Source organism: Homo sapiens, chromosome 3, assembly GCF_000001405.40.
Source record: "Homo sapiens chromosome 3, GRCh38.p14 Primary Assembly".
NCBI lineage: Eukaryota > Metazoa > Chordata > Mammalia > Primates > Hominidae > Homo > Homo sapiens.
Window position 1 is genome coordinate 43,718,252 of NC_000003.12, and position 16,626 is coordinate 43,734,877.

At 39.6% G+C, this 16,626-nt stretch overlaps 1 protein-coding gene across 9 annotated transcripts in view; it reads left to right on the forward strand.

Moving 5' to 3' along the window:
* Nucleotides 1-16,120, forward strand: part of ABHD5 (abhydrolase domain containing 5, lysophosphatidic acid acyltransferase) — a 43,502-nt gene extending 27,382 nt beyond the window's left edge. For 4 of the 9 annotated variants that reach the window (NR_158560.1, NM_001365650.1, NM_016006.6 and 1 more), the window contains one exon: nt 192-4,474. Coding sequence is in view for 5 of the 9 variants with exons in the window: in NM_016006.6 (NP_057090.2) it covers nt 192-281 (90 nt within the window). In the remaining 4 variants the exon portion in view is untranslated. Of the gene's footprint in view, nt 1-191; nt 4,475-15,628 lie in introns of those variants that run through there. The other 5 variants (XR_007095691.1, NM_001355186.2, XR_007095689.1 and 2 more) reach the window with 4 other exon arrangements.

The following is a 16,626-nucleotide window of genomic DNA, read 5'->3' on the forward strand; positions in this document are numbered from 1 at the left end:
ATTTTTCTATTCTCAGATCCTTTTAATGGATATACTTAATAGTTACTATAGATTATTGTTATTTTTTAATCACGTGTTTTATTTAAATACAGTGGCTCTCACTTTTATTACTAAGTGTCTTTGCTTATATATCATTCTGTTTTATTAAATGCTTTTACTCACTAACTGTCTGAATGCTTTTCCTTATCCAGGCTATTCTTGGGGCAGGACATTATGTATATGCAGATCAACCAGAAGAATTCAACCAGAAAGTAAAGGAGATCTGCGACACTGTGGACTGAACACACTGAAGCTCTGATGGGAAAACCTGGTGACTGATATAGTTGTTCAGCAATAATTCATAGTCTGTGATGAAGAGTAGTGAATACAACACACAACCAGGCAGCCTTCTTGACTATACTTTGCACATGTTTTCTTTAGGAATTCACTCACACATTTAAACCAGTTAGTGCCTTCTAGAAGAATGGCTTTCCTTTCTCCTACACAAAATTGAAATATACAAGTCTCTAAATATAATACCTTTAAATAAAAGGTTATTTGTCCCTCTGATGTACTGAAAAACTGTAATTTTTCAGCTGAAAATTTTTTAATCTAACTTTGCTAGTTATTTTTATATTGCAATCTATATTACCAATTTAGGAAGTGATTTCTGAGTCTCTTACACTGTAAAGGTGCACTTTATTTTCTTTGTCTTCCCCATCATGTATTTATTGTGTCTTGATAACTGATATTAATCTAAATTCAATGTGTTTTTATGTAAAAATTTGTCAGTTGTTTAGAATATTTCACTTTGTTTTTGAAACGGAGTGACAAGGCAGATTTTTGGTTAGAGGACGGGAGTTGATCACTATCATTACTTTTTCTAGTTTACCTGTTTTTTATATTTAAGGCTGCTAAGCCATGTTCAGCATTTTAAATGTGGTCTATCCTGACATACAGTGTATAACAACATAACTCCTTGGAACCTCCTATGTGTGGTATAATTCTACTCTTCCAAGGAACATGACTTCAATACTTTCAGTGATTCAGGTACTGAAAAGCCTTACCTAAAAGGCTGTTCTTTGTTTCCCCCTTTCATACTATTCTTTTCCATGACCCAGGATGCAGCAAATGAAACAGATTTCTTCTCTTAAGGGGATATTAAGACTGTTACTTCCTAGTAAGCCAAGTAATACCATATTTTTATTAACATCTAACTTTTGTAGATGGGTGCTAAAATTGCATACATTTTAACCACTAAAATAGAAAAACAAGTGGTGCTATTATGTCTCATGGCACCAGAAATGAGCTAGCACTTGGGTTTGTTGTTGCTGTTGTTTATTAAGAGTATTGTGTTAATTAAATCATTACATACTTGAAGTTATATTACAAAAATTCTAGAAGGTTGATTGAACTATTTTTTTAGGAACTACCATCAAGTGTAGCATTTTCTTGCAGTTTTAAAATGAGGAAAACTTCTTTGAAACTGTGAAATGCTCCATGTGGTAACTGGCTGCTGAGAAAACCCTTCACCAAAAAAATAAATAAAAATTGAATAGGATTGTCATCAAGAAGGCATCTTTCGCTAACGTTGCTTGTCTAGGAGAAAGGTAGCTATGTAAATAAAAACAGTGAACTAGAGCAAATAGTGGTTTAATGGTTTTGTTATTGCATTTTTAAAATGGTTAATTAGGGAATTTGTAGTTGTTAGGAAATGTAAGGTTGTGTCACTGTTGATTAACTGCCAGAAAGACTGAATGTTCTATTTTCAACATTTCTCCCCTATAAAAGAATAGACAAATTATACTGAAGCATGATATAAACATCTTCCCAATGAACAATTTGTCTCACTTGTCAGATTAACTAGGTTAGTGCAGGAAGCAACATGAGCGCCAAGATGTGTTGTCTGATTTCTCTACCTTAAGAACAATAATAGTCTTTTTAGTTAGTATTTTGGATGGCCAGGTTTCAAACCTGTATGTGGTACAAATAATTTGGGTAATATTTTTGTATTTTTGTTTTACACACTCTCTAATCTCAATTATCCTTTGCTGGGAGAATGACAGGTTTCACTTATACAGGAAGGTTTTTGCACAGGAAATTTGGTCCCAGCCCTTGGAAGGAAGAAGTTCCTTCGTTTACTTAGTGAATGGAGTTTCTGGCCGCAGATGTGCCAAGTGATTGAAGAAAGATATACCCCAATATCAAGTGATAATTTATTTTCCTACAGACTGAATTTGCTTTATTTGAAAGATGTTGTAACTCTTTTTAAAGTTAGATTTTACCCTGAGGTATAGTATATGTAATTTTGTGAAGATTGAGCTGGAAGGGAAGTTCACAATCCTCACATTTAAAAAAATATAGTGGGTGCTAAATGTTTTCTTAAAAATCTAGTACAGCATTTGATCTTTGTTATGCACAGCATACTTTTATTTTACAGAATAAATTTTCCTGTGATAGTCACAACAAGACAGCTGTATAGTTTCTTGAGTCTTTTGTATGGACCAGTCTCTGTATAATAGTTAACTACAGGACTGTGGATCCAGCAAATGTTCAGTAAATGCTGCTGTTGTTCTTAGGGAAGGCTACTCTGGGTGTTGTGGCCGCCATACATGGCTTTACCTGGGTCCATGCATTCCCTTAAGATGACTTCTGTTTTCTTCTTTTTTCTTCTGATTTTCCAAAAAAAAAAAAGCCTTGCCTAAGGTTGGTTTTAGAATATGATTTGCAGAACACTTTTGAAATGTCTTCATTCATATATGTAATATATATTTATACTTAAAGGGCCATACGCGATTTCAATAAAACAAGAAGTACTGGAAAGAATAAACAAAAATAGCCAGAAGATGCCTAGAAAAGAACAATGTGGAAGGAGGGATAACCCTATTAAATATTATAACATAATGTTTACAATATGAGAAAGTCTAGGAATTTAGTACATGATAAAGCATCTCATTCAGAGAAAAAGGCTTTAAAAATGGTGTTGAGAGAAGTGTGGTTAACCATTTGGAAAAAAAAATAAAATTGAATCGATTTCTCACAGGATACACAGGATAAAATCTGAATAGAACAAAGACCCAATTTTTAAAATGAAACCCTCTTTCTAACTAGAAGAAAACATAGATGAATTATTGTATAATCTGACAGTGAGAAAAACTTTCCTAGGACTGAAAATTCAGAAGCAATAAAAAGAGAAGTCTATAGAAGAATTTTCAGCCAGATGGAATGGCTCATGGCTGTAATCCCAGCATTTTGGGAGGCTGAGGCAGAAGGACTGCTTGAGACCAGGAATTCAAAACCAACCTGGGCAACCTAGTAGGACTGGCTCTACCAAAAAAAAAAAAAAAAAAAAATTAAGTACCTGGCCTGGGTTCCACCTACTTGGGAGGCTGAGGTAGGAGGACTGTGAGCCCAGGAGTTTGAGGATGCAGTAAGCCACTGCACTCCAGCCTGGGTGACAGAGAAGAAAAAAGATTTTTTTGGATAGCTGAAAATATTTGCAGCATTTATCACAGAGGGCTAATTGTAGCCCTATATATGAAGAATTTTAAACTATGAGAAGAACCCGAAGAATAGGCAAAAGGATGTGAACAGACAGTTAACAGAAAATAGAATGCAAATGGTCTTTAAACATACAAGGATATGCATAAAAAGACAAATGCAAAATAAAATAAAATAATGGAAATACCTTTCTTACCTGTGAGATTGGGGAAAATCCAAGTTAGGCAATGCACTCTGTTGAGACAATAGGGAAACAGGCACTCCAAAAATTACAAATCCCTGTGGATGGTATTTGTTAACTAGCAAAGTTAAATGAGTATATCCTTCAACCTGGCAGACCCAGTTCTAAGAATCCATATGAGATGCACTTGCAAGAATATGAAATAGTATATGCACAAAGATCTTGATTACAGCACTGTTTCTAATAGCTACAGACTGGAAGCCAGCCAAATCTCCATTGATAGGGAATTGATGGAAGGAACTAGGGTATATCTATACAATGGGATACTACACAGCTGTAGAAAGGACTGCGAACTATTTTTGTAGTTCTGGTCTGGAGAAATCTCCAGAATATAGGAAATGAAAAATGTAAAGCACAGAAGAGAATGTATGGTGTGCTGTCTGTTGTATAACGAAGAGACAAATGGAAAAAATATGTATTTGCTTTTTTTGTAAAGCAATAGAAGAATTAGTTATACCAATAACTAATAAAATGATCTCCTTGTTAGTGGTGGTAGGGAGCTAGACAAGGATGGCAACTATTTCTGTATCTTACATACCTTTTATTTTGAGGCCCTGTCAATGTTTTATATAATAAACATTTTTTGAAAAGGCAACTCTTAAAACTAAAACAAACTTAACAGTCTGTCAAGTTGGTGATATAACCCCACAGAAGACTTACTTCAAGTGACTTGAAAACTTAGTATTTTGTCTGTACTTTGCTAATGGAATATATCCTACAGACCAAACAACCACAAATAAATCTTAAACTGCATTCAGTAGTTTTATTTTTAGCAATGATATTGGTAGTGTCATTTGGGTATTTATGTGTGTTAAAACAAATATTTACTTGTGTCATTGGAATCAAGAGCCAAGATTTTCAGCAGAGGAGAAAAGAGACACAAGAATATAATAAAGAATCGTATGATTTATTTTTATTTCTGAAAAATACGTATTGCATAGCTTTGTTCACTGAAAAGGCCTAGAAATAATCACAGCTCAATAGTAAGGCCAGCCCTCGTACCCAGACTGTCCCACTAAATGGGGGCAGGCAAAGGACAAGATGAGTCTGGAATATTTTGTGTCAGAAAGCAAGGCAGCAAACAGAGTAAGGTCATGTCAAAAGGACCCAGGAGCTAACTTGAAGGGGTTTCCATTGGCCAAAGATGGGTTAAATGTGAGCATCAGAAAGAATAATGTGTTGAAACATGAAATATATAAAACGGCCATGAGATCATAATGCTATTTTAAAAACTCATTGGTCACTTTTGGAGGTTACTAGGGCACCAATTCAATATTTTGAAAATTGTTCATGGGAAAAATGAATCATTTATCCCAACTTCTTTGTGTATCAAGTTACCCTGATAAGGGAAAGTTCTTCATGTAAGAATCATAGGTAAATATGAGAGGAATAAGATTAGGAAATCGCCATTTTGCCACCTCTAATGAAGGAACAGATCCAGCTGCTAAAAGCATGAAATGAAAAGTTGATGAGAAGCATTTATTTGGTGGCTTAGGTTCATAAAATCTGAACCTGATGTTCAATCTTAGTATTACTGAAAAAGGAACAATGAGACATGCTTCTGTTGTGTTGCAATAGCAACAACCCAACACACCATGTTGAATTATGATGAATTACTGCCTAAGACAAATGAAATTGAGCCTGAATCTAATCAAGCCTCTACATCTAATAAGTAAAAACACACAGGAGATTGAAAAGCACGTTAATATGCTAAATCTAGAATGTGGGAAATTCCATAGGACAGAAATTCCAGTTTCTTCAACAAATTGAAGCTGCAAAATAAAAGTGTTAATAGGACTTTAAGACTTAGAGAAACTTAAAGGACCTTGTTTGGATCTTTATTTGAACAAAACAAAAAGACATTTTTGAAGCAATTAGAAAAGAGTTTATAATGGACTGGGTATCAGATGATATTAAGGAGTTATTTTATTGAGTGAAATAATAGTATAGTGACTTTTTTAAAAGCCCTTACCTTTAGGAGTACATAGTGTAGTATTCATGGTTGAGATTTTAACTAGGATTTACCTGGAATTACTCCAGGAGAAAAAGTCAGTTGTCAGAAAATAGATAAAATGAGCAGAGTGTTATGTTGAAGCTGGGTGACAGACACACAGGGGCTTATGTACGGTCTATGCTATTTCTTCTACTTGTATGCATGTTTAGAATTTCCATAGTAGAACTTTAAAGAATAAAAAATAGGAAAAGAGATTGGATAATGCCAGTATGGATAACTCTTTCTAGGCATAAAGAAAGCAGAAAGTGGGTAATAGCTGGAGGGAACCCTTGTGAATAACGCAGCAGAAAGCAGGAAAACATGATGCAGGAGAGCACAGTTGGGGTGATGTATCAGCAAGGCTAAGGGCAAATAGGAACTCTCATATACTGTCGGTGGGCTGTAATAGGTGCAACCCCTTTGACAAGTCATTTCACAATACTGTATATGGCAAAATTGTTAAGTGCTTCACACCACTGACAGCAATTTTGTTTCCAGGTTTCTATCCCACAGATACTCCAGCTTCAATATGCAAAGACATCTACAAGATGTTCATTGCAATATGGTAATATTAGAAGTCACAAATCAAACACATAACTGATTAAATTATGCTACATTCATATGCTGGAGTACTATGCAGCCTTAAAGACTGAGGTAGATCTCTATATAAGTGGCAATATGGAAAATTTCCAAAATATCCTTAATGGAAAACAAAACTACCAAAATGCAGAATATTTCTTGTATATATTCACACACATATGTAAATATATACATGCATACAGAATAGTGTGTCTACAAAGTTACATAAAGATACACTTAACACACACACACCCGTATATATGTATAGACATTTTGAGGAGGATAAATATATACATGGGTTTGTCAACAGTGGTTGGCTTTGGAGAAGGACAATTCTTCCTGTTGGATATGCTTTTGTAAATGTTGGATCCTTATATATTCATTATATTTTAATGAAAACTGTAAAATATAGAAAAATCTTGGTTAGTATGAAATAGGTAAGAAAATAACTAAAAGGTCTTACTGTGCTGTTGTCTGTGTGTGGATGTGCAGATCCAGATTAGGGGAAGTAGGACAGGTGTTGAATGTATGGCAGGTTGTGAGTCTCCGTAATTTAAGTATTGGAAATAGAGCTATAAAGCTGTAACTGGTCTGTCTCTTCTCCCTAACTAAGAAACACAGCCCCAATACAAAACTGCCCTTTTTATTTTTCCTTTTGCTTAAACTTGTTGAAAGGGGCAACTGAATTAGAATATCTACTTCTCTATATCTCTCTGTATATTAAGCTCTGCCTCTCTCTTGCCATCTCATGTGCACCATTATATCTCTCCTGCTGTTTTCTCTGAAATAATTCCTTAATTTTTAAAAATGTTATATTAAGTTAGAACTAGTTAGCGTTTATTTGCCTGTTTGCTGTCTGTAGCCTGGCTTAATTAGATTAGCTCCAAGATTTAAAAATTTAAAACAGTCTTACCAAGTAGTTTTCTAAGTGACATGGACAAGGAATGTTATTCTACCATGTATTTTAATCCTTAAAAAATGTTCTGTATGTTCACTTAAAGATTAGAAGGTTTCCATAAGGTGCCCATTGTTTGAAAATTTAGAATAACCCCATCCTACTTTTTAAAAAATTAAAATATTGTGTTCATCTGCAAGAGGGGTCACTTGGCTAACAGATGTGAAGGCTGAGAGTTCTTAAGCTGGTTTGCCACATTGTATGATTCTGGACAGTGTCTCCAGGACAGGTCTGAAAACCTGAACAACTGGCCTGTCTCCTCCTTCAAAGAAATAGAAATATTAGTCACAATGACCAGGGTGGGAGACAAGTGCATTGTTTATCAGGTTCATTAAGGGCTGTTTCCTAGTTTTTTTTTTTGTTTTTTTGTTTTTTTGGTTTTTTGTTTGAGGCAGAGTCTCCCTCTGTTGCCCAGGCTGGAGTGCAGTGGATCTCGGCTCACTGCAAGCTCCGCCTCCTGGGTTCATGCCATTCTCCTGCCTCAGCCTCCCAAGTAGCTGGGACTATAGGCGCCCACCACCATGCTCGGCTAATTTTTGTATTTTTAGTAGAGACAGGGTTTCACCGTGTTAGCCAGGATGGTCTCAATCTCCTGACCTCGTGATCCGGCCACCTTGGCCTCCCAAAGTGCTGGGATTATAGGTGTGAGCCACCGCACCAGGCCTGTTTCCTAGTTTTTAACCTGCGAATGTTTTTATAATTGGAAGTCACAGCAATGGAAATGATGAAATGTTGAGGCCAAGATACCAGACACGAATGACTGGTATTTCACCTTCCTATGCCAACCAGCTTACCATATTTCTGTCGGGACTTAGGAATGTCCCAACCGATCTTTAACATATATCTGTTCAAGACTTGAAAATGCTGTTTTCCATGGGGTAGGAGGGGCACCAGGGTCAGGGGATATGGAGAGAAAAAGATGGCAGAGGAGGGAAGCCAGGCATTGAGGACAACACCATGAAAGGACTGGACTCTCGTGCTGGCCTGCAGGAGACTGCTGAGGGACAGCTGTCCTGTCTGTATGGCGTCTTCCTTATCAAAGTTTCAGTGATGATCTGAAGGAGGGAGCATCTTTGTGATGCACAATGACCTCTTAGCTTCACTTGGCCAGCACCAAAGATGCCAGCAACTGACAGCCAAAATCAGAACACCACATCCTCAAGTGCAGTCTGTTTCGGCAAACATCTGAGCATGAGATGTGGATTGTGCCAACTCACAGAGCATTGAGGCTCAAACTCTAGTGTGCCTGAGTCATCAAGGCTGCTTGTTGCAAATGCAGACTTGAGGCATTACCCCCAAGAGATTCTAATTCTGCAGATGTGTGGGTGGGGCCTGGGAATCTACATTTTAACAAGCACTCCTGTCCTCAATGTCTGACACGGGAGTGTTCAATTGTTTCATTTTGTGGTTTATCGGGCAGTTCATTTGGTTGGAGTTTAACTACATATGCTGTCTTTTGGTGGCACTTGAACTCTCAGTTTAATTATTAATACTTTATCCTTAGCTGCAGAAATTTGGGGAGAGATTATATCCAGATTTTGGGGCGCCCTCTCTGGCTCTCCTTTCTAGGACTCCTCCCTCATTTTGCAGTGGTTGTGGCTGCCCTGAACTCTGCATTCTGGTTCTTGAAGCCAGAAGGGCTGTTGGTTTTCTACCACAGCTCTCCCCACCTTGGAACCCTGAGTTGCCTTCCCTCAGACTGAAAGCTATAAAAATGCTGGTCTCTATTTCAAATGTTAACTCCCTTCCTGAGTCTCTTTGCTTGTGTTCATTCTCTAGTGTCTTCAGGTGGTGGTTTCTTGATATTGGCCACTTTATAGTTATCAGCAGGTGGGTTAGTCCCCATTGGACCTTATTCTACTGTACTGGAAGCAGAACTCCTGGATCACAGACTTTGAGAATAAGTCTTTTCCAGTGTCCCTCAAGACTTGGCTAGGTGGAAGTTTACCATGCTGAAAGAATGCTTACATTTTGTTTCTGTACTTTACCATCAGCCTTCTGTGGCCACATCTAGCAATCTATAGATATTTCACTTTACTCTAGAAGTGTAAATGAGAATTAGCCAATGCAGGAAAAAATGGTGTTGTATTTGTACTACTGTTTTTTGTTTGTTTGTTTGTTTGTTTTGAGGCAGAGTTTCGCTCTTGTTGCCAAGGCTGGAGTGCAATATGCAATCTCAGCTCACTGCAACCTCCAGCTCCCGGGTTCAAGCAGTTCTCCTGCTTCCGCCTCCCTAGTAGCTGGGGCTATAGGCATGCGCCACCATGCCTGGCTAATTTTTGTATTTTTAGTAGAAACAGGGTTTTGCCATGTTGATCAGGCTGGTCTTGAACTCCTGACCTCAGGTAATCAGCCCGCCTCGGCCTCCCAAAGTGCTAGTAGTACAGGCGTGAGCCACCGCACCTGGCCGTATTTGTACTACTTTTAAAGAATGAGGCCCCAAATGTAGCTGGAATGAAAATGTTTGCAATCAGCATCTTGTCTGGAAACCACCATTTCTGTCTCATCTATGAGACAGCTTCCTTGTAAGCCCTTCTCTCTTTGACTTTCGCTGACCTCACCGGCCTTGCTCTGCCCACCAGTGGCTCCAGAGCTTGCAACATTTTGTTGGCCCATTGTTCCTGAGGACTCGGTCCTCTCTGGGATTGAATTCACATTTATGGTTGGAGCCATGCTGATTCATTGTAATCTAATAGCCCTAGTGCTGTGCTGAAAATTTTTACTATGCCAACAAAAGCAACATGGCAAAATTCTTGAAAAATGCCAAATTCTCTTAAATTGGGAAAATCAGTGTTCTAACAAATTCAGATAGTAAAGTACCCTAATATTCTGCATCACTTAAAACGCCAGGGCACCAACTATGGGATAAGATTGATGAACAAGTCAGCAACAATCTTGAGTAATGAGTGTTTTTAAACTTCTACATTGCTGATGAAAACTATTCATGGTTCTCTAAAGCTAACCCATAAATAACTCTTTAAGAGGTGATGTTCCTGATATGCTTCCTCCACACCTCCACTCTCCAAAAAATGATAAAGGAGGAATTTGGAAATAATGAGATGACACCAATCAGGGCTTATTTACTACCCAGAGACTGATGAAGTGGGACCTGGAATTCTGAGCATTACTGTTATGTGACTGTTAATTACCGCTGTGATGTCTGCCTCATTGTTCATTAATCTTTGACCGTGGGGACAGGAGCCAACCATTAAGTAAATCAGGTATCACACACATACCTATTAAACAACCTCCACTAACAGAGATAGATCTGAGAACTAAGGAAGAAAGAACAAGGCCTGAGCGCCTAGAGTGGACACCAGTGAGCCTTACACGTAAAGCCTGCGTGCTTCCTGGTTGCCAGAAAGACTCAGAGGCCCTCCCTCAGCATTTAAGCAGTGGGCATTCTCACTGCACTTCCAAATTGCTCTTTTTAATCTGCTGAGTGGATTAGAATCCCATGTAAAAGTAAGGATTTCCTGGTTTCTAACATGTTTGCTGGGAGAGAGACTTAGCAAGGAGTAACAAAGAATAAGCTGGTGTATTTTCAAATATGAGCTTTTAAAGTTTTTGTGGTGACTCTAACCATAACAGCCTGAGACAGAGGTCCCAGGAGATCCCTCCTTGTGGAAAAGCAGTAGTTCTCTTCCCCAGAAAGGACTGGGGTCAAAGGATGCACAACAGTAACGACTTTGTGGTGAGGTTGGCAGAGAATATACGATGGGGAGCTTGATGTGTGAGAAGTGGAAAGAAGGTCATCTTGGATGATTGGAGGACAACATCCCGCAAACGACAACAGGGAAAGCACAGTACTTTTACAAAAGGCTCCGCAAATATCTCATCCTTACCATCTGTTCCTTGTGCCTTATAAGATTTTTGGATTTCATCCTAAGAGTAACACGCATTTATGGGGAGACTGAGGGATAGGACTGGGTAAATTTGAGATATATCTCCAAAAACCATCTTCATTTTACCAAAGAGAAAAATGAAGCCCAGAGAGGTTAAGTGACTTGCCCAGGATCATACAGCTAATGAGTAGTCAGGAAAATATTCTCTTTAGAGTTCTTTGTATTTCTTTCTTCATAGTGTTGCCAAATATAAATAATAGTGTAGGGTTGGCCTGCCATGTGTTGGAGTGGGCAGGATCTTTGGTGTGACAAAGGTAGATAATTTGTCTAGCCAAGTTTTGAGATATCACAAAGCTACCAGTGCCTTAGCCAGGCAGAAGTTATATTCAGAATGATTACAAGTTGCTCTATGATAGAAGGTGCTCAAATAAATGTTAGTATAGGCCAGCACTGTATTCTATGCTACAGGGATTCCAGAAATGAAAATTAGTAAGGTGTAGACTCCTTTCTACTGGGTCATAAGCTATTTAGGAGTCTGTTTCTGTCTATGGTTCCTTTGTGTGCTCTTGTTAACTATACTGCAAAGTAAACATATTGTATTGTTGCAGAGGGGGAGAGATTGCATCTGGCCTGGGAGATCAGGAAAGCTGAAGCAGGAGGTGGCATTTGAAATGAAATACTTAGAAGCTGGTGATTAAATTCTGTTCATCTTTTATAAGAAATGACATTTATGGAACACTTATTGCATGCTTTGAGCTTTGCAACAATCTTTCATTTAATCCTTCTAACAACTCAGTGGGAAAGGTACACTTATTTCACAGAGGAGGAACCGAAGGCTCAGTTAACTTATTGGAGCAATGCCATTGGTGCCACACCTGGATGGCCTTGCTGGGCCAGCTTCTCTTGGTGTTGGCTGCCAACTAGTTCACACCAGCCTTCTCCTGAGGAATGCTCTTGGCTGATGAGAGCACTCATACCTGGAGAAGTAATCTGGAAGGGAAAGTCAAGGAAACCTTGCTGACTAAGTAGACAGTATGAAAAACACTGGTGAGAGACTTTGGACTTCCTGGATCTGTCTTCCATCTAATAGATATTCCAGAAAGAGAGACTTTAAGGTTTTCTTTTTTGTTTTAATGGAGAATAGAAAATAATCCCTTTTTTTTTTTTTTTTTTTTTTTTGAGACGGGATCTTCCCCTGTCTCCGAGGCTGGAATACGGTGGTGCGATCAAAGCTCACTGCAGCCTTGAACTCCTAGGCTCATCATGCAGTCTTCCCTCAGCCTCCTGAGTAGCTAGGACCATAGGCACATGTCACCACATCTGGCTAATTTTTCTTACTTTTTGGAGAAATGAAGTCTTGCTATTTTACCCAGGCTGGTCTTGAACTCTTGGGCTCAATGATTCTCCTGTCTCAGCCTCCCAAAATGTTGAGATTGCAGGCATGAGCCACTGCGCCTGGCCTAATCCATTTGTTTGTTTTTTTGTTTGTTTGTTTGTTTTTTGAGACGGAGTCTCGATCTGTTGCCCAGGCTGGAGTGCAGTGGAGCAATCTTGGGTCACTGCAACCTCTGCCTCCTGGGTTCAAGCAATTCTCCTGCCTTAGCCTCCTGAGTAGCTGCGACTACAGGTGCATGCCAACACGCCTGGCTAATTTTTTGTATTTTTAATAGAGACAGGGTTTCACCATGTTAGCCACGGTGGTCTCGATCTCCTGACCTCGTGATCCACCTGCCTCGGCCTCCCAAAGTGCTGGGATTACAGGCGTGAGCCACTGCGCCCGGCCCTAATCCATTTTTTTTAAAGTGAATTTCCTTGTGGCCCCAGGTGGTGAGCAACAATAGTGGGAGAAAGTTCACACACAGATATCACCTAGTATAATTTCAACCTCCTAAGAATTCCAAGGATCGTTCGCTAAAGCTAAGGTGAAAATTCTACATATTGCCAGAGGAGACATAGAAAGTTTCAACAGACTGGCACTCAATGGTTTATCTTCCAAATGGGAACTATCTCCAAAGTGCTAAATTTTTATGAAGGAAGATGATTTTGAATTTAGAATTCTATATTCTGTTTACTATCTTTAAGAGTGAGAACAAAATAACAGTGTTCTTGAACATGCAAACACTCAGACAACACTGCATACATAATTTTGGGGGCCCAATGCATAATAAAAGCGTGGGGCTGCTTGTTGAAAGATTTAAGAGTTTGGGCCGGGTGCGGTGGCTCACACCTGTAATCCCAGCAGTTTGGGAGGCCAAGGCAGGCGGATCACCTGAGGTCGGGAGTTCACAACCAGCCTGACCAACATGGAGAAACCCCGTCTCTACTAAAAATACAAAAATTAGCCGGGTGTGGTGGCGCATGCCTGTAATCCCAACTACTCAGGAGGCTGAGGCAGGAGAATCGCTTGAACCCGGGAGACGGGAGGTTGTGGTGAGCTGAGATCGTGCCATTGCACTCCAGTCTGGGTAAGAAGAGTGAAACTCCGTCTCAATAAATAAATAAATAAATAAAAATTAAAATTAAAAATTAAGAATTTCAGGATGGCAACTGCAGAGCATTAAAATAAGTGTGGGACCCCTCTGAATGCAGCGCCCCATGCAGTTGCACAGCTCATGTGCCCAGGAAGCTGAGAAAACTCACCACCCATGAAGTCTTCTGGAAAAAAGAAAGCATTTAATTCAAAAAAGTGGTGAGTGCGAGACAAAACAAAAAATGATCCCAGTAAAACATAAAAAAAATTATTGTCTTTAATATTCTTTATGAAGCTTAATGATTTTTAGAATACCATTAAGAATAGAGGGGAGGGCTTGGCACGGTGGCTCATGCTTGTAATTCCAGCACTGTGGAAGGCCGAGGTGGGTGGATAACTTGAGATCAAGAGTTCAAGACCAGCCTGGCCAACATGATGAAACCTTGTCTCTACTAAAAATACAAAAATTAGCCGGCAGGGTGGCACGTGCCTGTAATTCCAGCTACTTGGGAGGCTGAGGCAGGAGACTCGCTTGAACCTGGGAGTTGGAGGTTGCAGTGAAACGAGATTGCACCACTGCACTCCAGCCTGAGTGAGGAAGCAAAATCTGTGTCTCAAAAACAAAACAAAACAAACAGAATAGAGGGGAGATGTGTACTTAAAAATCATACACATTAAAATTTGATAATTTCAACAACAGGAAAGAGATGGTCAAGAAGTAAGAGAAAAGTAAAATGCAAGCTTAAAGTCTTGTTAGACTTGGGCAGGGGATGTTTAAATACTGATTAATTAGAACTAATTGTATTTTTAAAAATTAATTTTAAATATGTAAAGGTAAGCACAATATTTAAAGGTAACTGCAAAATTAGTGACTTACCCAACACACATTTATAATCTCATGGTTTCTGCGGATGAAGAATTCAGACATGGCTGAGCTAGGTCCTCTGCTTCAAGATCTTTGCATGGCCGCAGTCAAGATGGTAGCCAGGGCTGGGGTCTCAAGGCTGGAGTCAAGGTGATGGCCAGGGCTGGGCTTCCTCTTTGAGTGAGGAAGGACATGCTTTCCAAGCTCATGTGGTTGTTGGGATTTGGTTCCCTCCAGCTGATGGATTGAGGGCCGTAGTTGGTAGCTGTCCATCTGCTGAAGGCCACCTTCAGTTTGTTTCCACGTGAACCTCCTCAACATGGCCACTTCCTTCATCAAAGCATGTAAACCAAGAAGGCAGTGGAGAGTCTAACAAGACAGCAGTTACAACCTTGTGCAGTGTAATCATGGAAGTGACATCCCGCGGTCTTTGCTGGATTCTGATGGTTAGAAGGAAGTCACAGGTTTCATCCACACTCAGGAGCAGAGGAACTCTCAAGGGTGTGAGCACCAGGAGACTGGGATCCCTGGGGGCTGTCTTAGAGCTTACTCACTACCACACTCATTCATAATAAGGCCTGTCAGACAAGGGAGACTTGGTCATACACCTGAGTTATATAAATCCTCATCCAGTCTCCCTATGGTTGACAAGGTGTCTTGCTCATAAGCGTCAGTACCTGGTGTCAGGTGCTCTCATATAATCAATCACTGTTTGTTGAATGAACATGAATTGCTACAAATAAAAGCAGTTTTGAAAAAACAGTTTGGCGCCATTAACAGGTTGTTTTTAATTTGCATTGTAAAATGGGTTTGGCAGTTTTGCATATTAAAAGGTCAAAATGTTATGCCATGAAAGATAAAACAAGAGCTTAAACATTCCAGAACAAAATTTTCCACAGGATGCCCTTGTGTTTGCCTTTCACATCTGGATTGTTGTCATAGTCCTGCCATTCGCAGTAATTTACATTTGAGTCACATTTCTCTCTTGAGGAGTAAATATAGTACAGTACTTCCCTTTAAATGTCCTTTACTCAAGGAGAAAAACGTATTTGGGGTACATATTTTCACAACCATCCTGGCATAAATTTTAAAATCTGTGTGCAAATGGGTGGTGATTGCATCATGTTAGGTTGCTCAGAGAATGTCTTTAAGATGACATGATTGAGAATTGATTCATTAACACTGTTACTATTTTTTCAGAGCTCATTCCGCAAAACCATGTCTGAGAGCCAGGAAGTCTGGATTCTTGTCCCAGTGCCCCAACCAATGAGCTGAGTGGCCTTGGCAAGTCACCCAGTCTGCACCAGTTTTCTTGTCTGTGGAATGCTGGGCTTGGATGAATAGTAATTCAAGGATCTCTCCCTCTGCAGTGTGCTTTCTGGTGACCATGAATGGATGCTGTCAGTAGATGCCTTGGTGCTCTTTACGGTGCTGGTGCAACTACCCCCAACTGTCAGGAAGATGTCCCCTAGTGGCTTATAGCTGTCTCCTCTGCAGAATTGCCCTTGGCCAAACAGCTGCTTCCTCACCTGGGAGATCACACCCCTGCAGCCGATGATTGACTGACACGTGGGTGCAGAAAGCCTGCCCTCTTGCCTCCAGGTGGGACCCAGTCTGTGGTGCAATTTGTGTTCCTGGGCACCTGTGGGACTGGCTGAAGTTAAACTTCAGATTAAACTACATCCTTAATTAGCTCTTTCCCTCACTCCAGCCTATTTCTCTCTCCTCGCGTTTCTTGAGAGCCCCCAAAACCCAATATATAAGAATTCTTTTCTTAGGCTTTGCTACTAGAGACCCTGATCCAAGAAAGTCACCTTAAAAGGAAGGGCTTATGGGTATGGGATTTCTTGAATTTTCCGGAGGGTGTAAGGTCATCATGAAAATAGGGGATGGTGAGGTGTAAAAACAGAGAGGAAGCCTTAAACCAGGGATGTCCAACCTTCTGGCTTCCCTGGGTCACGCTGGAAGAAGCATTATTATCTTGGGCTACACATAAAATACACTTAACACTAACGATATCTGATGAGCTAAAAGAAAAATGCAAAAAAATCTAATAATGCTTTAAGAAGGCTTAAAAATTTGTTTTGGGCTGTATTCAAAGTCATACTGGGCTGAATGTGGCCTGCAGCCATGGATTGGAGAAGCTTGCCTTAAACTGAAGCACTGGATATATTTGAATAAATATGCAGTCTTTAGTT